General features: G+C 36.7%; 1 protein-coding gene and 1 long non-coding RNA gene across 2 annotated transcripts, besides 2 other annotated features; one reads left to right on the plus strand and one right to left on the minus strand.

Annotated features, from left to right (window-relative positions):
• Positions 28–586: an enhancer, noted in NCBI's record as "NANOG-H3K27ac-H3K4me1 hESC enhancer chr12:72057723-72058281 (GRCh37/hg19 assembly coordinates)". NCBI's record gives its function as "activates a minimal SCP1, AML or CMV promoter by ChIP-STARR-seq in primed H9 embryonic stem cells {active_cell/tissue: H9 hESC(primed)}" and the evidence as "EXISTENCE:reporter gene assay evidence [ECO:0000049][PMID:30033119]".
• Positions 36–395: an enhancer, noted in NCBI's record as "active region_6660". NCBI's record gives its function as "activates an Ori minimal core promoter by ATAC-STARR-seq in GM12878 lymphoblastoid cells {active_cell/tissue: GM12878}" and the evidence as "EXISTENCE:reporter gene assay evidence [ECO:0000049][PMID:35858748]".
• On the plus strand, positions 386–16,729 carry THAP2 (THAP domain containing 2). Its single transcript, NM_031435.4, has 3 exons — positions 386–665; positions 10,288–10,483; positions 12,774–16,729. Exons 1-3 carry the CDS (start codon positions 595–597, stop codon positions 13,191–13,193), a joined length of 687 nt encoding a protein of 228 aa, NP_113623.1. The 5' UTR covers positions 386–594; the 3' UTR covers positions 13,194–16,729.
• LOC124902965 (uncharacterized) lies at positions 7,675–22,149 on the minus strand. The gene is made up of 2 exons (XR_007063367.1): positions 22,007–22,149; positions 7,675–7,867 (listed from the first exon to the last, which is right to left on the minus strand). It is a non-coding gene; the product is annotated as an uncharacterized LOC124902965 (long non-coding RNA).
• Positions 22,150–22,156: the final 7 nt, after the last annotated feature.

The following is a 22,156-nucleotide window of genomic DNA, read 5'->3' on the forward strand; positions in this document are numbered from 1 at the left end:
AAACAAAGGCTCCCAGTTCACGCGATAATAAGACCAACTCGATACTCACTAGGATTTGTAGTCTTTCGTCTTTCTTCGGGTTTACTCTTCCGGTCCTAGGGTCACACCCACCGCAGGGTCTGGCTTGGTACAGTTGGGTGCATGCAGAAGTAGGTGGAGCTGCTGTTGCAGCCTTGAGAGAGTTTTATTGTAAAACTCTTGTAATTTATAGTAATCGGAGGGGAAAACACCTCTTCCTTTTAATTGCTCTGAGGACCGCTGCCAAAGAAACGCAGTAGATCCGCTCCCTCTTGGGGGCGGGGAGAAAGAACGGGTTGTGTCCGCCATGTTGGTGAAGTCAAGCGAAGGCGACTAGAGCTCCAGGAGGGCCAGTTCTGTGGGCTCTAGTCGGCCATATTAATAAAGAGAAAGGGAAGGCTGACCGTCCTTCGCCTCCGCCCCCACATACACACCCCTTCTTCCCACTCCGCTCTCACGACTAAGCTCTCACGATTAAGGCACGCCTGCCTCGATTGTCCAGCCTCTGCCAGAAGAAAGCTTAGCAGCCAGCGCCTCAGTAGAGACCTAAGGGCGCTGAATGAGTGGGAAAGGGAAATGCCGACCAATTGCGCTGCGGCGGGCTGTGCCACTACCTACAACAAGCACATTAACATCAGCTTCCACAGGTAACCTGGGCAGGGAGTGGGGGTGACGGAAACTGGAGTTCCTATTGTGGCTATCGCTTGTGTGGAAGGAACAGGAGGATTCTGCTAATTCTAATAACTTTCCCAGCTGGTAGCAGGGAAGCATCGTATGTCCTTTGTGTTTCTCAAATCTGCCCAATTGTTCTCTGCTTTCGGGGAAGCTTTACTCATTTTCTAAAAGAAATCCAAGTACTGTTTGGTCATTACCCCTTAGTAAAAAAAAGTAACAGGAGGATATCGTAATTTTCTACTGTTTTATTCCTCTGTTAGACCGGGCCTTGACATGAATGACGCCGTAAGGGAGAAAGAGATCTTCCCAATCAGCAATCACCGTAAAAGCCTGCTGTGTTCCCGTTAAAATTAGGAAATTCTCACTAGATGAATTGACATGGGAGGCATTTAGATTTCTAATAGTCACATAGTAATTCTGCGGAGGAATTGAGTCATCTTTGATAGCCATGGAATTAAGCGATGTTAATTAAAGTGCAAAAGATAACCTTTCTGTTCTTACTAGAATAGAGTAATAAAAAGAACCTAGGTTTTCTTTTGTTTGCTGGAAGAAAAATCAAAATTCTTTAGTTCTGTCAAACCAGAACTCTTGAAAGCACTTTGAACAATGCCTGGAAAATAACAGGTACTCTGTAAATGTTTACCTTCTCTGCAAGTGCCTGCCACGTGCCCGAAGAAAAGACACATTAAAAAGTTAAGTGACACCAGTCCTGATTTTATATATTTTATATACCTAACAACGTATATGTTAGTATGTAGAAATTATATCCTTGACCTTTTTCCCTACCTATTACGAACTGTACTTTTATTAAAAGCTGCCACTTAAAAAAAATCTTGTGATGTTTCTGTTTTTAAACTAGTTCATGCATATGTAGTGCTTTGTTCATTCATCCATCAAATATGTACGGAGTTCCTAATTACCTGACATTGTGCTAAGGATCCAGAAAGTTCTAACCCTCCTGGAATTTAGAATTTAATGGTGGAGAAAGACATAAATAATTAAGTGCCACAGAAGAAACATTCAGAGACCTAACTTAGTCTTGGAAAGTCAAAGAACACTTTTTCAAAGGATGTGACATTTCAAATGAGACCAAAGGATGACAGATTGGGTCCTGTGTGCTACTTAAGTATTTTCTGTTTTATCCTAAGAGTACTTGAGAAACCATGGAGGGTTTAAAAAAGAATGGCACGATTAGATTTGCATATTGAAAAGTCCTCTGGCTGCAGTGTAGAGAATCGTAGTGTTACTGAAAGTGCTGGTCAAGCATCATCGGGAATGAACTTGATGAGAAAGGAACTTATTACAGAATATTAATTTACCTATTTTTTTCCTTCACAGGGAAATCTTGCTACAATGTCAACTAAACTAAACCCTTTACTCAGTTGCTGGCACAATCAGCATTGAATTAGGGAATGTGTGAGCTGACAGAGAAAAACTAGTTAGGAAGCTGTAGTAAATAAAACAAGGAAAGTCCACCCAAATTTCTAGACTAGGGTGATATTAGAGTAGAAATGGAGAGGAGGGGACAGATTGGAGAAATGTTCAAGGAGAAACTACTGAATTTAGTAATTTGATTGGATAGATGAGAGAGGGGAGTCCAGACACCAATAACAATGTTTAACCCAGTGTGGTGGCTCACACCTGTAATCCCAGCACTTCGAGAGGCCAGGGCGGGCTGATCACTTGAGCCCAGGAGTTTGAGACCAGCCTAGGCAACATGGTGAAACCTCGTCTCTACAAAAAAATACAAAAAAATCAGCTGGCCCTGGTGACGCATGCCTGTAGTCCCAGCTACTCCGGAGGCTGAGGTGGGAGGACTACCTGAACTGGGGAAGTTAAGGCTGCACTGAGCCATAATCATGCCACTGTACTCCAGCCTGGGCAATACAGTGAGACCCTGTCTCAAGAAAAAACAAAAAACAAAACAAAAAAAAAGAGATGGATGGTGGTACAATAACATGCATAAAATTTGCCTACTATGAATTTAACATTTTCATGTGTAACCTCAGAAATTTAGGTCTTAAAATAGTATTCATTATAATAAAAATACATTCCTATTTTGTAAATACAAACAAGGATTAATTGATTCACTCCTTTTCTACTGGGACATTAGTAGACTTTTTTTTCTTTTTCTTTTTCTTTTTGAGACAGAGTCTCATTCTGTCACCCAGGCTGGAGTGCAATGGTGTGATCTTCGCTCACTGCAACCTCCACCTCCTGGGTTCCAGCAATTCTCCTGCCTCAGCCTCCCGAATAGCTGGGACTACAGGCATGCCCACATGCCTGGCTAATTTTTATATTTTTTAGAAGAGATGGGGTTTCACCATATTGGCCAGGCTGGTCTCGAACTCCTGACCTTGTGATCCACCTGCCTCGGCCTCCCAAAGTGTTGGGATTACAGGCGTAAGCCACCACGCCTGGCCATTAGTAGACTTCTGTATCTCTATGTGCAAGTTATTTTGCCTAAACTTACTGTCTCTATCTTTCTTACCTCTTAGCCAACTCAAGTCTTAAGTCTCCCCAGTAATCTTCTGAAATTGCTCTTGCTAACATGACCTTAATGTCTCTCTACATTCATTTTTCATGGTATGTGATCATTTCCTCCATGAAATACTCTCTATGACACTAATTTTATGATTATCTTCTGACTTTTTTGGCCTGTCTTCAATCTCTTTTGCTACTCTTCTCTCTACTCCTTAAGCCAGGTCTTCACATTCGTATCAGAATAATTTCAGCTGTTCTGTGGTCTCAGCATCTACTTGTTGATGCCTCCCAAATCAGTATCTCCAGTCCATCTCTGTCTAATGAGTTCCAGACCTATAGGCCAAGTGTCTACTCAGTATTTCTCTGGTCTCCTTTTAGTTACCCAGATTCATTATCTATATTAACAAACTGCCCTTCCCCAAACTTACCCCCACTTCCTGTACTCTGCTTCTCAGTAAATGAAGATCTACCCATCTGGAAACTTGGAAGTCTTCCTCCCTTGACTTCTCACCATTACCCCTTGATTAGATTATTACAGTAGGCTCTTAACTGGCTCACTGCTTCCATCCATGCACTCCTAGGCACTCTTCTGTAATCAATAGTATGTTGCTAAATATTTAATAAATGTTCTCTAGGGAGGGGGAAAAGCCCTGATTTGTAGTGTTTCCCCACCTTCTATGATGTAAATACTACTACCAAGTCTAGTTTCAAGCTATCAATATGACATCACTGATTATGGAGTTGGAAAGAGATGTGCAGTTTCACACTATTTTAGTATTTCCACCATACAGATACAACAGACAACCTTAAGAGTAAAGGTAACAGTAAAATCACTAGGAAATTTGGGGGTTTTGGTATTTATTACCTTTCATTTTAATTTATTTAATTGCAACTTTATATTAGTTTAATTTTAATAATGGCTGTGTTTAACAACTGGCTTACAGATTTTCTGTTAACAATCAGCTCCCACAATTCAGCCTTTTAATGGCTTACCATTGCCATTTTGGATAAGGTGGATAAGGTTCAAAATTACTCTTTGACTTAGAAGGCCCTCCAGCATTGTTTCATAACACTATTCTCTGTCCCCAAGATATTCTTAACACTCTACTGTCCCACCCTAACTTCTCTAGCTGATTCCTATAATTTTTAAGGCCTCCTGACTAGACTAGCTCTTCCTGTTTTACGGTTCCACACAACCCTGTACTTATGCTTTTATAAGACTCATCGACACTTGTAGTTACTTTTATTATAATAATAAATAGCATTTATTTAATATTTAGCATGTACTGTGCACTGGGCTAAGCATTTACTGACATTTTTTCATTTAATCCTTATGACCACACTAGGTGCCATTCTTATCCCCACTTTACATATGATAAAAGGAGACCTAAAAAGGTTAACTTGCCTAAAGTCACCCAGATATTATGCAAAGGAGCCAGGATTGGTGCCCTGGTTTGAGTCCAGAGACAGTGGCCACTCTATTCTATTGCATCCAGCTATTTGATTCCCTACCTTCCCCATTACAGTATACGCTCATGGAAGAGAAGTCCTATGTCTATTTTGTTTCCTACTGTGTCTTCAGTGCCTAGGACAGTGCTTGGAATGTATGAGGCATTCAACTAATTATTGAAGATGCACACAGAATAGCACTGTTTAAACTACTGAGTGATTTTCCAAAACATCAAATATTTATAAGAGCCTGGTTCTATTACTGTCTAGATAAGAATATATCCTGTTACCATCATCTTAATTTTATTGTATTTATGTGAAGATTTATTATTAAATTAAGGTGAACTTAAATTTAGCTTATGGGCTATATCTCCCACCCTTTGAATGTGCTGAGAAAAATCCAAACAACACATCCAAAACATGATCAAGGTTAGTGCTGTACAAAAACATTACACCAAAATTAAGTATAAAATCATTGATTATTCATATTGTTCAGCACAGAAAATCTAAAGACTAGTAGTGCTGAGTTAACCCCATTAGTTCATTCATTCATTGATTCAGAAAAGTTCATTGAGTGCTTAACAGATACTATGCTAGATACTATGCTAGACCCAGGGACAAAGCAGTGAAAAACACAGCTCCTACCCTAGAGAAACTTACAGTCCAGTGGGAAAGATAGAAAAGTAAACAAAAAACTGTGCTATCAGTGCTATAGCGACATCTAACCCAGTCCTCTGATCATGGAAAACTTCCTTAATAAGATAGGATTCCTAAACAGTCTTAAGTAGAATTTGGTCAACTTAAGATTTGATTCAAGGCATTGATTTCCTAATTAAGGAGCTAGTTTTAAAAAGAGCTTTAAAAGAGAGAATTAAGGACCTGAAAAATAGTATCTGAAAGACAGTCTTATAGTGGAAGAGTCTTATACAAATAATAATACAATGATAGTACTTATTCTGAGTCTCTATTGAGGCCCTGACAAGAAGAAATGTGTTTAAAGCCTGATTTTTAGCTTAGCCTTTAGGAAATATTTCCAAACCATCAAATACTGGGACAGAGATCTTTGAAATGAGACTAGATTGTCATTAAGAGGTGAGACTAGGCAGAGTAAATAAGTTACAGAAAATTATTCAGCCAGCTGCGGTGGCTCATGCCTGTAATCCTAGCACTTTGGGAGGCCGAGGCAGGTGGATCACCTGAGGTCAAGAGTTCAAGACCAGCCTGGCCAACATGGGAAACACCGTCTCTACTAAAAATATAGAAAAAAAATTAGCCAGGTGTGGTGGGCACCTATAATCCTAGCTACTCAGGAGGCTGAGGCAGGAGAATCTCTCGAACCTGGGAGGCAGAGGTTGCAGTGAGCTGAGATCCTGCCACTGCACTCCAGCCTCGGCAACAAGAGCGAAACTCCGTCTCAAAAAAAAAAAAAAAACTCTATTTTCTTGTAAAATAGAAAAAATGCATATGTGAATTGTGGAGTGATATACAGATGTTAGTATCTTCAGATCAGGGTACGTATAGGGTTGAGGGGGATGGGGACAGAAGATGGGAGAGTGTTGACTGTAAATCCAGACATTCACTTCTTTGTGCCCCTCATTGCTGGTAGTGTTAGCCAACCTAGTATATGCGATATACCCAAAGCTGTTACCTAATGAGGCTGCATTTGGGTCTTCTGAACCACATGATCTTCTAACTTGGATTTTGTGGTTCTTTTTAAACACTAGTCATTTCATAATTAATATTTAAAGGATAATGTAGTCAAACTAAAGAGTTTTACACAAACTTACTACATGTCAATGTTGATTCTTATATTTCCAAGTTACCAGTAGAATTCTTAGAGACAGCCCCTTATATTTGTCTCTTCCTTAATAGGTACACACTGGATGCATATCAGTGTACAGTTGACCCTTGAACAATGCAGGGTTTAGGGGTGCAGAAGCTCCCTCACCACACAGTTGAAAATCGGAGTATGACTTTTGATTCCCCAAAAATTCAACTAATAGCCTTAACCAATAACGTAAACAATCAACACATATTTTTTATGTTATATGTGTTCTGTACAGTATTCTTAGAATAAAGTAAGCCAGAGAAAAGAAAATGTTATTAAGAAAATCCTGCCGGGCATGGTGGCTCACCCCTGTAATCCCAACATTTTGGGAGGCCGAAGCAGGTGGGTCACCTGAGGTCAGGAGTTCAAGACCAGCCTGGCCAACATGGTGAAACCCCGTCTCTATTAAAAATACAAAAATTAAGCGTGCGTGGTGGCAGGCGCCTGTAATCCCAGCTACTCAGGAGGCCGAGGCAGGAGAATCACTTAAACCTGGGAGGTGGAGGTTGCAGGGAGCCGAGATGGCACCATTCACTCCAGCCTGGGCAACAAGAGCAAAACTGTCTCAAAAAAAAAAAAAAAAAAATTAAGAGAAAATATATTTACTATTGATTACGTGGAAGTGGATCACTATAAAGGTCTTCATCCTTGTCATCTTTACATTGAGTAGGCTGAGGAGGAGGAGGAAGAAGGGGGTTGGTTTTGCTGCCTCAGGCATGGCAAAGGTGAAAGAGGTGGAAGGGGAGGCAGGAAAGGCAGGCACGCTCAGTCTAACTTTATGGAAATACATCATAATTTCTGTCTTACTCTTTTTCATTTCTCTAAAAATGGTTCTATATTGCACCAATCCTTCTTCCCTGTTTGCTTTAGTTTCAGAGACCCTATTATAGAAGGGTCCATGTCATAAAAGAAGTCAAAAGCAGTCTTGAATAATCAGAACCCTTCTGCCAGATTTTCTAATGTCAATTTTTCTGGCATTGCTGCTTCTACAACTTCTTCCTCATCATCTGGCAGTGTTCAGAAGCACTCAACTCCATCAAGCTGTCTTCTGTTAATTCCTCTGGTGTGGTGTCTTAAATCAGCTCTTGAATTTCTTTAAGATCCATATCTTGAAACCTGTCACTGCCCACCTTTTTTGCCATATCAACAATCTCATTCATGATTTCCCTTATCAGCTCTGTCACAAAGACTGTGAGGTCATGCACAACATACACACACACTTTTCTTTAGCAGGAATTTATTGTTTTGGGCTTGGTTTCTTTCACCACTTTTTCTGTAACAATTTTCAATGGTGCAGTCCTTGTATACTTTCATGATGTTTTCTATCTTTGTTGGGGTTTTCTTCCATAGCGTTGGCAATCCTTTCCATAGAGTACCATGTGTAATGATCCTTAAAACTTCTGACCCTCTGATCTAGAAGTTGAATTAAAGACATTGAGTTTGAGGACAAATAGACCACTTTGACACATTCTGTGTTGGACTGGATCTTGGTGGCCAGGGGCATTGTCCAAAATGGAAAGAACTTTGAAAGGCAGTACCTTACTGGCAGCGTACTTCCTAAATTCAATGGAACCAATCCAGAAAAAGGGTTCTCATTGTCCCAGCCTTCTCATTTTACAACAAAAAGACTGGCAGCTGGTGTTTATCTTTCCTTTTCAAGGCTCAGGGTTTAGCAGGTTTGTAGATAAGGGCAGAACTGATATAAACCCAACTGCATTTGTACAAAACAGTGTTAGCCTATCCCTTCTTGCCTTAAGTCTTGATGTTTGCTTCTCTTCCTTACTAATACATATCCTTTGTGGCATTTTTTTCAAGAAAGGGCACTTTTGCCTGCATCAGAAACCTGTTCAGACAGCCTTTCTCTTGAATGATCTTAATGGCATCTGGGAACATCTGCAGCCTCTTGGTCAGCAGAAGCTGTTTCTCTGTTATCTTGACATTTTTTAAGCCAAACCTCTTTCTAAAATTATCAAACATCCTCTGATGGCATTAAATTTGCAGCTTCAGATCATTCACCTTCCTTTTGTTTTATCATATAACAACCTCACCTTTTCTCCAGAGTTCTGTATAAACTCTAATATGATTTTTCTAAAAAATTTTCTTTCTAAAAAAAAACTACCTCTAGTCCTGGAATACAGGTATGGCTTTCTTACAGCAATTGTGTACTCACATAAAAGCTGCATTTCCAATACAGAATAGAAAGATATTTCACAAAAAGTGCAAGGTTTTTGTACCTGCTGGCACAGCTGTAGCAACAGCTTGATGATTTTTTTTTTTTACAGTGGTCCTGGATTTATTTATTTTGAAATGGCAGGCAACAACAGCTGCAGACCTAAATCTATGTGGCATATATATATATATATCTCAAGCAATTCAACTTTTTCTTGTATTGTCATGACTCTGCTTCTTAGAGCACATCCATCATCACTAATGGCACTTCATATGGGTATCATGGTATTATTTAAGGTTTATGGTATTGCACTAAATACAATGAAAAATATGCGAGAACTGCGAGAGATCACTTTCTGCCATGATACACAACTTACTGGAGAGACGAATTGCTTAGACAGAGATAATTAGCATCACATGGCACTTTAAGTGGGTACTCACAGCAGTTATTGAGCTCACTACAATAGAAGATGGCTATGAAATTATTACAGTAGTACAGTATGTACTACAGTTGGTTTTATGCAGTTATTATTATACTGCATCTTTGCATTTGTTTACATTCTTCTGGACTGAATGATGCCATGTATGGTCTCTGTAAATTTTGATAATTTTAACTTTTAAAAATCTGTTTATATTTCATGGTAGTAAATGACAAAATAGACTAGTATGTGTATATTTCATGGTAGTAAATGATAAAATAGACTGGTATCTACATATATTTTATGTATTAATGACATACCTTTTTCTTAATTTTTTTGATGTTTCCAGGCTACATGGTTTGTCTGCAAGTTTTTTCCAATTGTTTCAAATTCAAATATATTTATTGAAAAAAATACACATATAATTGGACCTGTGTAGTTCAAACCTATGTTGTTAAAGGGTCAACTGTACTTTATATTTGAAATATGAAAGGAAAAACATTGCTACAAAGCATTTTACCTTTTTGTAAGTTTACTTTCTGCTGCACTACATAATTAAAGAGTTGACTTTTTAAAAGTATTTGCTGTTTACATACAGTATATTATTACTCTGTATTTGTATTAATTTAGCAAATTTTGTTGAATCCCTACTGTTTGCAAAGCATTGTGCTAAGTGTCAAAGATAAATACATAACAAGATATAATGATCCCTGTCCTCAAGAAATTTATAATCTTTATGTCACTGGAAATTAAAATGGAAAAATTACAAAACAAGGTGGTAAGTGTCTTAATGATGGGACATAGAGGAAAGAGTACCAGAATCTGCCTAGGCTTTCCTTGACAAAATTTAATCTTTAGATATCTGATTTTTCTTGACTACATATATCAGCAGCAGATTAAAGCGTGGTGAAATTACTCCCGCTTATAATTGTTCTACTTAAACTTGATCTAAATCAGTTTAGTCATGTTTTATTTACTGCCCAGATTAAGGGCTAATTGGGAAGAAATGTCTCTTTTTAAAAGCCCTGAAAAATAAACGACTCAAGTCAGTTTTTGACTAAGTTTTTCAAACTTATAAAACATTACCATGAATTGGTTTCTGTTCCAGTGTCTGGATATTGTTAGTTTAAAATTTTTTAGGTAAATGGGACACACTTTTAATCATCTTCGAAATTTCTTTTAATCATTTAGGTGCAGCCAGAATTATGATAGTTGGAATTTGAGTTGCATTTTTTTTTTTTTAAGGTTTCCTTTGGATCCTAAAAGAAGAAAAGAATGGGTTCGCCTGGTTAGGCGCAAAAATTTTGTGCCAGGAAAACACACTTTTCTTTGTTCAAAGCACTTTGAAGCCTCCTGTTTTGACCTAACAGGACAAACTCGACGACTTAAAATGGATGCTGTTCCAACCATTTTTGATTTTTGTACCCATATAAAGTCTATGGTAGGTAATGTTACTCTCCTTTTGTTAAAACCATTTTTAGAACTCATTCCTTTTTGTTTATGCAGTTATTAACTGAAATTCATTTATAGTGATATGCCTCAAAAAAGTTGCAGACCTTCCTCTTGTACAGTAAAGGTACAGGCTAGAATCAGAGTTTGGGTCTCCTGACTCCAATATTCTTTCCCCAATCCAAATTGTTTTACTATATTGGAATTTTACATTATTACCCATTATTATTAATAATTGCACCATTGGTAAAACTGAAAAATCATATGAGTAATGAAACCTCCAGCATCACTGTGCTCTGATTTTAAAATGACATACAAATAACATGTGCAAAGTACTTTAAGAGCACACAGCCAGAATTAAACCAAAGAATGTAAGTTCAGAGGGAGGCAGGCATGACAGAAATCTTCAGAGAGCTTGGGCATTCAGGGTGGGCTTTTGAAGCCTTGGGAGTTTAAAATAGAGGAAAGGGAACTTGGCTTTGCACAGAATAATTACAGTTGCATAATGAGAACAAAAACGAGTGGGTTGAGGCGTGAGTAGGAAATGTTAGCAAGTGATATTTAAAGGAAAGAATGAAGAAAAAATGAAGCAAAAAAAAGTAAATTAAAAAAAACGAAAGAATAAAGGTATAAGATGAATGAATTAAAACAATGTTTTATCTAGTTAGGGAAGATCTGACCAGAGAGGAAAACCTAGCTGGGAAAGACAGGGTCACCAAGAGTAAGAAAGGGTAAAATGAACACAAATAGTTTAGCTTTGAAAGGGAGGACAAACATGTTTTCCTCTGAGGAAAAACTACTGTTTCTCTTGTTTGTAACTGTTAAACTTTTAAATGTATATGAGTTATTATCTGAATGGAGACGAGGTTGTGGTAAGCTAATTACCACTGATGTTAGAAAAGCTCCAGGAGGACAAGAACTTAGTCTTTTTCACACGTGAATCCTCAGCACCTCAAACAGTGCCTGGGACATAGTATATACTCAAATACTTACTGAATTTGAAATACACCTTATTTTTGACATTTTGATAATTTATTTATTTAATAAATACAACTAAACTTTCCATTATGCCAGAATCTAAGCTCAGTGCTAGAGATACAAAGATCAAAAAAGAGTTCCTGTCAATTCCCTAGGCAGAGGGACTAACTGTAGGTTTCATGAGGATAGGAACCACATCATCTTATTTGTTCAGTGTTGTGTCCCCAGGAATGCATAGTATGTGTTTCAATAAATGTTTAATGAATTAAAGACACAGACTTATGAGGATATGATATAATCTGGAAACTCCCAGTGGCTTAGTATTGCTGGAGTATAAATCAAGATGGTAAATTGCAGAATGGGGTGAGATCCTAAATTGTATAGTATGCCATCTAAAGATTTATTTTTCCTTTAGATAATAGATAGGCAAAGAATAATTTGGCCAGAATGGAAAAGTCAAATATTCTAGAAAAATTATTCTTATGGCAGAATGTGGATTAATGAGGATCAAAATGAAGTGGAGAGATCAATAAAGAATAATATAGTCAGAACAGATATGATACGGGCCCAGTGTAAGTAGTGACATTAAGAATGACAGTGTTCAGCCTTATTGTGGAACAGAGAAAGGAAAAAAAAGAATGACGGAGAGGAGAGGATTCATGGTAGGAATATTTAGTGGGTAGAATTAATAGGACTTGATGACCATTTGAATGAAAGAGATAAAAGCAAAAAAAGTCTCCTGATTTTGGCAAATGTTCCTAGCCAGATTTTAAATCCTTGAAGATATAACCATCAAAAATTAATAGGTAAATCTGTTTAGAAGCTTGGTACTTAAGAATACATTTCTACAGATCCTTCAGTTTTCATTAAATAGGACCCTGGGTCTAAAATATTTATCAAATTGAGAAAAGGGTATTTAATTAAAAGGGGATCAAATTAATATCATAAATAATATCTACATATATTGTAAATTGACCTTAGTAAATTGCAAAGGATCTTTAAAGTCTCTATAGAGTCATAGTCAATAATTTGGAAGAAACCTTGGACGTCCATTGTCTATTTCCAAATCAGTGTTTGAATCTCTCTGGATATGGGACAAAAAGAAATAGGTGACTAGAGTTAATTCAACCAGTTAAAAAACTTAATCTTGGATTACATGAGATGGCTGCTGCTGTTTCCTATTAAAGTTTTAAAATTGACTTTTAAAAGAGCAGTTTAAATACTGTTATCCAAAACTGGACACTATGTGCTTATTTGTGATATTTCATAATTTATGTTCAACCCTCTAATTTTATTCGGCTCAGAAACTCAAGTCAAGGAATCTTTTGAAGAAAAACAACAGTTGTTCTCCAGCTGGACCATCTAATTTAAAATCAAACATTAGTAGTCAGCAAGTACTACTTGAACACAGCTATGCCTTTAGGAATCCTATGGAGGCAAAAAAGAGGATCATTAAACTGGAAAAAGAAATAGCAAGCTTAAGAAGAAAAATGAAAACTTGCCTACAAAAGGAACGCAGAGCAACTCGAAGATGGATCAAAGCCACGTGTTTGGTAAAGAATTTAGAAGCAAATAGTGTATTACCTAAAGGTACATCAGAACACATGTTACCAACTGCCTTAAGCAGTCTTCCTTTGGAAGATTTTAAGATCCTTGAACAAGATCAACAAGATAAAACACTGCTAAGTCTAAATCTAAAACAGACCAAGAGTACCTTCATTTAAATTTAGCTTGCACAGAGCTTGATGCCTATCCTTCATTCTTTTCAGAAGTAAAGATAATTATGGCACTTATGCCAAAATTCATTATTTAATAAAGTTTTACTTGAAGTAACATTACTGAATTTGTGAAGACTTGATTACAAAAGAATAAAAAACTTCATATGGAAATTTTATTTGAAAATGAGTGGAAGTGCCTTACATTAGAATTACGGACTTAAAAATTTTGCTAATAAATTGTGTGTTTGAAAGGTGTTTTTTGTTTTTGTCTTTTTAAACTACTGTTAAAAGAACAGCTTATGATAAGTAATATGTTTAACTTAGAGAAGAATTTTTTCCTGTACCAAAGTTGGCATATTGCATTCTAAATAAGATGCTAAATAAGAGTTAACCAACATTCAACATGACCTTAAAACTGCTGGGTTTTGTATTAATTAAATTATAATTGGCACTGTGATTTGAAAAATTTATAGAAAAAAAGGTACAGGGCAAGTTTTTAAATTAAAACTTTCTATATTTTGTTTTACCAGTAAAAGTGAGCTTATCATGGCCTCTCTCATAAGAATGATTTTAAAATAGGTTGTAAAATATTTTGAAAATATTTGAATGTGAAGTACCATTGAGTCATCCAAACTAGGTAAGGCCTCAAGTACTTTAAACTAGTAAAATCTAGTAGCTGATAATATTCACCTAAGTAAGTGTTGTAAAATAATTCAGAGTTCAGGACCTAGCTTAGATAAATGTATACTACTCTTTTTCTCATAATAAAAATCTTACATTTCCAACTTCAAAATTGGTGCTTCCATATTTGTTGATAACCAAAACTCCTAAGGTTTTTTGTTTTCTTTTTAACTACTTTCCAAATGCATACTATACCTCAGAAATAGTGTATCAATATAGTGGGCTTTTTTTTTCCTCTTCATAAACCCACAGTAAAATTTAATCACAGGAAACTACTTATATCTTCACACTTTGTATTGATAACTTAAAATGGCATCAGTTTATCTTAGACATCAGCTTGCTTTTTATCTCCTTTTTTAGTGAGTGAAATAGAGCAACTAGCATGCCTGTGTTCCCAGCTACTTGGGAGGCTAAGGTGGGAAGATCAATTGAACCTAGGAGGTTGAGGCTATAGTGAGCTGTGATTGCACGACTGCACTCCAGCCTGGGCAATGGAGTGAGACTCCTGTCTCTAAAACAGCAACAACAAAAATAAAGCAACCATAGTGCATAAGGGAAATTAAATGTTCCCTATAGAAATATGTGTATGTCTGTGATAGTGGTATGCAAATGCTAATTATTTTATAAAATAAAAGTTCAGAACTATTCTTATCATTGCCACTTGAACAATTAAAGGGTTTGCTTTATTTCACTAATGTTTAATAGGAACCCTTTGCTTCAAACAGCTTTGTTGAAATCATGTAAAAATTTGTTAATAGAGAATCAAGTTATTTAACTCAACTTATTTAATTCAAGCTTGTGATACTAACATACAAAGGTAGCATAAACCAAGTCATAAATTGCTGTAATCTTTCCTGTAAAGTAATAGCTACTTCATGATTTTTTTAAAAATTTCATTTTTTTGCTATTTAGGATTGCATTTGCTTGGCTCCTAGTAACAATTCTTTTACAGTATTAGCACTCTCTTTACTAAGGAATGCCTCCCAAGGAAATGCAAAGGTAGGAAAAGTCTCTTAGAATGCCCATGAGGTATTTAAAACAGATATTTATGAAAATCTTTTTGTGAATGTTATAAATCTTGCTAGTTATTTTATCTTTATCTTAAGTATTAGATGTAGTTCCTTGGAATTGTCATTACATATTTATTTTTTTCTAGTATGGTTTCAAATAACTTTTTGCCAACATATAATCATCATCAAACATTCACTGACCATATCTATTTTATAACTCAAAATAAGTTGGACAAATAATCATTTTAATAAAAACTATTTTTTCCAAGTATAACCACTGTCATGTGGTTCACCCTTCACCCCAGATACAAAACACTTATTTGTGTAGCCCAGTTCCCATCTACAGTAATACCTTGAAACCTTAATAAATTTTAAAAATCATAAAAATAAAATATTGTAAAATACAACAAATTTTGGACAAGGTTACTTCATCTTCATTCATTATTACCTGACAGTATTAAACTACTACTCAATAATTTTAGAGTAAACTTTTCTGTGTTTTCTCCGTGATTTTCATTGTGCTGTCCTGACAACATGCTCCAAACTCTTTGCATCAAATTGTTTTATTAACATACATTTGTCTACCTTAAAACTAGCTTTATTCACAGAGAAAAACCTAAAAGGAGTCTATTAAAATGCTGCTTTCAGTTTGATAGTTTTTTTTTTAATCACTCTGACCATAAACTAACTGAAATTATAATGGATTTTTTTTCCTCTCCCGGTCACAACACAGATCTTCTGTTCATTTGTTCTCTGTCTACTGGGCACCAACCTCTACAAAGAACCAGCCAAAGGCTAGGTACTTGATATAAAAAGGAATATTACATTATTTTCTGCCCTCAAGTTGCTCTATCTCCTGAAAGAAACAAGTAATATTTATAATACAATATGATAAATGCTACAAAAGAAATAGCTGTAAAGTCCTTTGGTAAATGCTGTTGAATTGGAATTCAGTAAGAACTATAAACTGTAGACCTTTTTATAATCAAATGCTTTTGTCTTGAAACAAAACAGATTCCTCCTTATATTGACTTAGCAAAGGAGGTACAAGGACATTGGCATTTGACCTGAATTATGGTGTTTTATTGAATGAGCTATAAGACAACATTTTTACCCTTTAAAATGAACACTGAACAAATGTGTTAATGGTATCTTTGTTAAAAGGAAAACATAGCTATAAATAAAATACTACATCGAAATCCAGCACTGGAGTTCATTTGAAATTTGATATTTTGTGTAAAATAACAAACCTATTAACACAGATTTTTAAAATAACTCAGAATCGTATAAAGCACTTTGGTACTTATTTGTTCTCTTTTCCCTTACATTCTGTGTGGTAGGTGGTATTATCTCTGATTTACACATGAAGACATCCTTGTTAATGCAATTTATTTATTCATTCGGGCATTTACTGTGTGCCAACTTGCAAAAGGAATAGAAATGTCTGTGATCTAGATAGTTCTAGATTGAACATAGATTTTCTGCCAACAAATCCTCTCTGCTGTTCACATTATCCTTTGTTTAACGTATGAACCAGGTTACTAAAATAGGATAAATCATGTGTCTTAAAATATGAAAATAGTAAAGTCTTTGAGGTCACTTGATCTTCTCTAAGTAGACTTTATAATATTGTGTTTTATCTCATTTCTCAATATTAGAATACGGGTAGATTTTAATTTTGCTATAATATAGGAAATGGTTCATCTTTGTACCAAAATATTGCATTCTTCTGATATTTAGACAGTTGGAAACTTTCTAAAATTGAGGATTTTGTAGTGTATACTAAATAATTGCATATTCAAAAAAATGTATTCTGAGTATGGTGATATTAAACATTTTTCCCCAAGGAAATTACTGTCATGCCTGTTATTTCTAAAAAATGTACATAAATATTTCTGTGAAAGTTCTTTTACATTGACCCCCTGAAAGACTTCTGTGAAGTCCTTCTCCCTAAACTGAAGCAAATGGTAGAACAAAGATAATGTAAAGCCTTGAAGAGAAATTATTTTCATTTTTGTTGCTCACATTATATCTAAATGTACATTATAGTTTATTTGCACTGTTTCAGATAATAGGCAATCTAGACAAGATATATGAACGGCTATGAAAATGGTAACAGTCTATCTCTATCCTGACCATAATTTGAGGCTCACACAAAAATGTATTTGCAGGCTAGGTACAGGAGTTCATGCCTGTAATCCCAGCATGTTGTGGGGCTAAGGCGGGTGGATCACTTAAGGCCAGGAGTTTAAGACCAGCCTGGGCAACTTAGCGAGACACCCATCTCTACAAAAATAATGAAATAAAAATTAGCCAGGCACAGAGGCATGTGGCTGTAGTACCCTAGCTACTCAGGAGGCTGAGGCAGAAGGACTGCTTGAGCCCAGGAGTTCAAGGCTGCAGTGACTCTGATCGCACCACTGCACTTCATCCTGGGCAACAGAGTGCAACCCTGTCTCTTTAAAAAAAAAAAAAAAAAAGCATACATTATCAAAGCACTATCTTACTAACAAAAGGGAAAGATTGTAATATTTTATTAATTTCTTCTGATTAAAATATTGTTTTGGGCTGGGCGCAGTGGCTCACTCCTGTAATCCCAGCACTTTGGGAGGCCAAGGTGGGCGGATCACAAGGTCAGGAGTTCCAGACCAGCCTGGCCAACATAGTGAAACTCCGTCTCTGCTAAAAAAAAAATACAAAAAATAAGCCAGGCGTGATGGTGGGTGCCTGTAATCCCAGCTACTCAGGAGGCTGAGGCAGGAGAATCGCTTGAACCAGGGGAGGCAGAGGTTCGCAGTGAGCCGGAAATTGTGCCATTGCACTTCCAGCCCAGGCAATAGTGTGAGACTGTTTAAAAAAAAAAAAAAAAAAAAAAAAAAAAAAAAAAAAAAAACTTGTTTCGAATACTGTAATTCAAAAAATGCTATCTTTTTTATTTTTATTTTTATTTTTTTTGAGATGGATTTTCGCTCTGGTTGCCCAGGCTGGAGTGCAATGGCGCAATCTCGGCTCACCACAACCTCTACCTCCCGGGTTCAAGTGATTCTCCTGCCTCAGCCTCCTGAGTAGCTGGGATCACAGGCATGTGCCACCATGCCCAGCTAATTTTGTATTTTTAGTAGAGACATGGTTTCTCCATGTTGATCAGGCTGGTCTGGAACTCCCAACCTCAGGTGATCCGCCCGTCTTGGCCTCCCAAAGTGCTGGGATTATAGGCGTGAGCCACCGTACCCAGCCCAAAAAATACTATCTTAACACTCATTAAGAGACACTGATCAAACTAGGATGTGCCAGACAGACATGGTGTCCGTCCTCAAGGTTACTGGAAAACAGTATTCCATTTCTTTATTCCTGCCCTCAATTGCTCCCCACCCTCTCCCTAAGGCCCTTTTAGAATGAGCTCAACCTAATACAACAAATCCATCTTCAAATTGCTCCCTAGTCTTTTAAAATCTATACTACAAACATTTAAAAAACAAAATATTCGGGTTTAATGTCAAGAAGGCATATACTGGTTGGATGCAGTGGCTCACACCTGTAATCCCAACACTTTGGAAGGCCAAGGCAAGAGGATCACTTATAGCCAGGAGTTTGGGACCAGTCTGGACAACACAGTGAGACCTCACCTCTATTTTTATATTAAAAATTTTTTAAAAGAGGTGTCTATTTCTCAGATGAATTTTCAGTTTAATAAATTATTTAGCAAACACTCCAAAATGTGTTATTTCTAACTCTTCTCCATTCTCTTGAACTTCCTATTTTCATGTTCTTTTTAACCACCAAACAAACCTTTACAAATTGCCCTTGTTTAGCTTAGTCACTGAGCAAACTCTTTGTCATCTTTCAATTCTTACCTTGGATGCTCCCCTCTCTTGTGTGACACCATCCCTAAACATACCAGAGTGACATAAGTGCTTTTCTCCTTGAGTCCTGTTTATATATGACTTGGATAAAGTCATCATCTTTTTATAATGTAATTGTCTACATGTCCATTTTCATCTGCTATGCTCCTTCACCACACATACACATGTGGTGTATGTGTGTTGGCACTCAAATCACTCAAATATTCGCACATTTCAGAAAATCTAAACCAATCCCTTTGAATTAGATTCAAAGGGATTGTAAATAAAATCTGATAATTTCCTATCACACAGTAAGTGCTTTTTGACATTAGGATAATTTTTGTGATTGGTATTGAATATAAATGTCTATCATAGAAAAATCCAAACTTTATATCAAAGAGCACTTAACCATAAATGGGTATTTATATTGTGAAATTTAAAGATCAGCGCAACAATGAACTTTCAGTTTATTCTATGATTGCTATAGTAAGTCTCAAACTGCATGTTTTCTACAGGAAATAAATCTGATGAAGACAATTAACTGTTGGAACCATTTAAACAAATGTGTTTGTTTCTTAACTTCTTAGAGTCATTAATAATACACTCTAACTATCCCATGTAGAGACAACATTTCTCAACCTTAAATTTGATCACAGGTATCTTTTGAGTGGTAGGGATGCCTACTAATAACAAAGAATAACTACTATTAAGTTAAAAAATATAGTTTAGGAAATGCCTAACCAGAAATTTTCCATTGCCAGAAAATGGCTTCCAAAGTAAATAGAAAAACAAAGACTTTGTTGAAATTTTTAAGATTGATAGTCTATAAAAATTGTAACAGTAAAATCGTGATTTTTTAAAAGTATACAAGAGCCCCTCCCACTCCCTTTATCCTTGGAGATACATTCCAACACCCTCAGTGGATGTTTGAAACCCTGGAAAATACCAAACCCTATATATACTATTTTTTTCCAATTCCTATATACCTATGATAAAGCTTAATGTATAAATTAGGCACCGTAAGAGATTAGGAGGAATACCTAATAATAAAATAGAACAATTATAACAATATATTGTAATAGAACTAAAATAAGGGCACTGTGATACTGCAACAGTCCATCTGATAACTGCAATGGCTCCTAAGTGACTAACAAGAGAGTAATGTCTATTGCATGGATGGATATGCTAGATAAACGGAGGATTCACGTCCCAGGTGGGATGGAGCTGGATGGCATGAGATTTCATCATGCTACTTTGGCATGCAATTTAAAACTTATGAATATTTCTGGAATTTTCTTTTTAATATTTTCGGATTGTTACCGGTGGAAGGTGTCCAGGTTCTTGGTGTTTTGAACAAAGAACTGGAAAAACACACAAGCAAAGCAAGGAAAGAATGAAGCAACAAAAGCAGAGATTTACTGAAAACAAAAGTACGCGCCACAGGGTGGGAACCATCTGAGCATAGGGGCTCAAGGGCCTCCTTACAGAATTTTCTAGGGTTTAAATACCCTCTAGAGGTTTCCCATTGGTTACTTGGTGTACACCTTATGTAAATGTAAATGAAGTACTAGCCCACAATCAGTCTGATTGGTTGTGAAAAACAACCAATTAGAGGCTGAAGCAAAGTTACAAAGTTACACTCCTACGCAAACGTCTGATTGGTTGCAGAAAGCTACCAAGCAGAGATACTTTCAATTTTCTATCTGCCACGCAGAAAAAAAGAGGGGTTTGCAAAGGGCGTAGCTTTGGGTCCTTTTGTTACTTAGGTATGGGAAGTTGGGGTTTTCCTTTTGATTTAGCTCTAGGAAGTCAGCATGAATCGGCCTTAGGTTCCCTGCCTCAATAGGAGACCCTATTCTCCTGCCTCAAGATCATGTTTAACCCTTGGTAACTGAAACTGCCTATTGCATATAAGAACTACTGTATTTTAATTATATTAACTCCTCTAAATTATTTTGGTCTTAAGCTAGAATAACTTTTATGGAGAAAAACATCTATAATTGGTCACTGAAAAAAATAGAAGGGAAAATATTCATCTAAAGGGTCAGTTCACTGACACTACTATTTAATATGCATTTTTTAGCCAGATCTAATAGTCATGAGAAAATCATCCCTGACATCCAGGGACTGACCTGACACAGCTACACCACAGTGTTGGGAGATAGCTTGACATTCACAACTAGGCTATGATTTTCCTATCGAACACCAACTAATCAGAGAGGGTCACTCTGTGACTGTGGTGAAGCAAGGCAAAAAAAAGAAAAAAAAAAAAAAGACCAGTTTATAATTTTGTCTAAGCAGAGACAAAAACAATGCGACTGTGCAAACCACAAAACATTAGCTTTCATTATTAATAATTTTACCCAGTAGTCTGGTAACATTGATACTGGCCAGTCAGCTTGGTGAAATAATCCAAACATTTACCTATGCAGAACAGACTAAGACAAAAATAAAGTAGGCACATAATACATTTCAGCATAAAGACCATATATGTATATTATCTAGTACAGGAAGCCCACTACTATTTAGTCCTACTTCACAGATTTGATTCTTAGTTAACTACTTAATTAGATGTCTTACCAAAGAAAATGACAAGCTGTCTTGGCATGTATTTTGAAATTTAAAATAATGTGAGCTTTTTTAAAGTAACTACTCTTGGGGCTTAAAACACAATTGCATACTGTGTCTGAAATGGATTTGGCTCCTCTTCTTACACTGTCAGCAATTAACTGAAAAAATTGATAAATATTATGTAATTATCAGTTAATTACTGTTAACCCAGGCAAACAAGTTAATTTCACATAAAACATGAAATCAGGCCGGGCGCTGTAGCTCACGCCATTAAACCCAGCACTTTGGGAGGCCGAGGTGGGTGGATCCCCTGAGGTCAAGAGTTCGAGACCAGCCGGGCCAACATGGCAAAACCCCGTCTCTACTAAAAATATAAAAATTAGCCGGGCGTGGTTGTGGCGCCTGTAATCCCAGCTACTCCGGAGGCTGGAGCAGGAGAATCGCTTAGAACCTGGGAGGCGGTGGTTGCAGTGAGCAGAGATCGTGCCACTGCACTCCAGCCTGGGCGGCAGAGAGAGACACTGTCTCGAAAAAAAAAAAAAGAAAAGAAAAGAAATCAGCCACGATTCAGATTTTTAATGCTAACAAGACGTTTTGCTTTCTAAATGCACACACCTTTAATATAAGGGGTGTGAGGACAGATATTTCCACAATCTAAGTGGTGTTATGACAATAATTACGAGAGCTCAGTAATAGAAACTATGTTTAACTTTACCTCGCTAGCAGCCAGGAGTCTAGCACATTATAGGTACTAAACAATGTTGTTTAGTACCTATAATGTGGTTTTGGAGAAGCAGTGCAAACGCAGCCGGCCAGGATGCCAGCAGTGCCTGCCCACGTGAGCTAGGCGACATCCCCCTAAGCG

Source organism: Homo sapiens, chromosome 12, assembly GCF_000001405.40.
Source record: "Homo sapiens chromosome 12, GRCh38.p14 Primary Assembly".
NCBI lineage: Eukaryota > Metazoa > Chordata > Mammalia > Primates > Hominidae > Homo > Homo sapiens.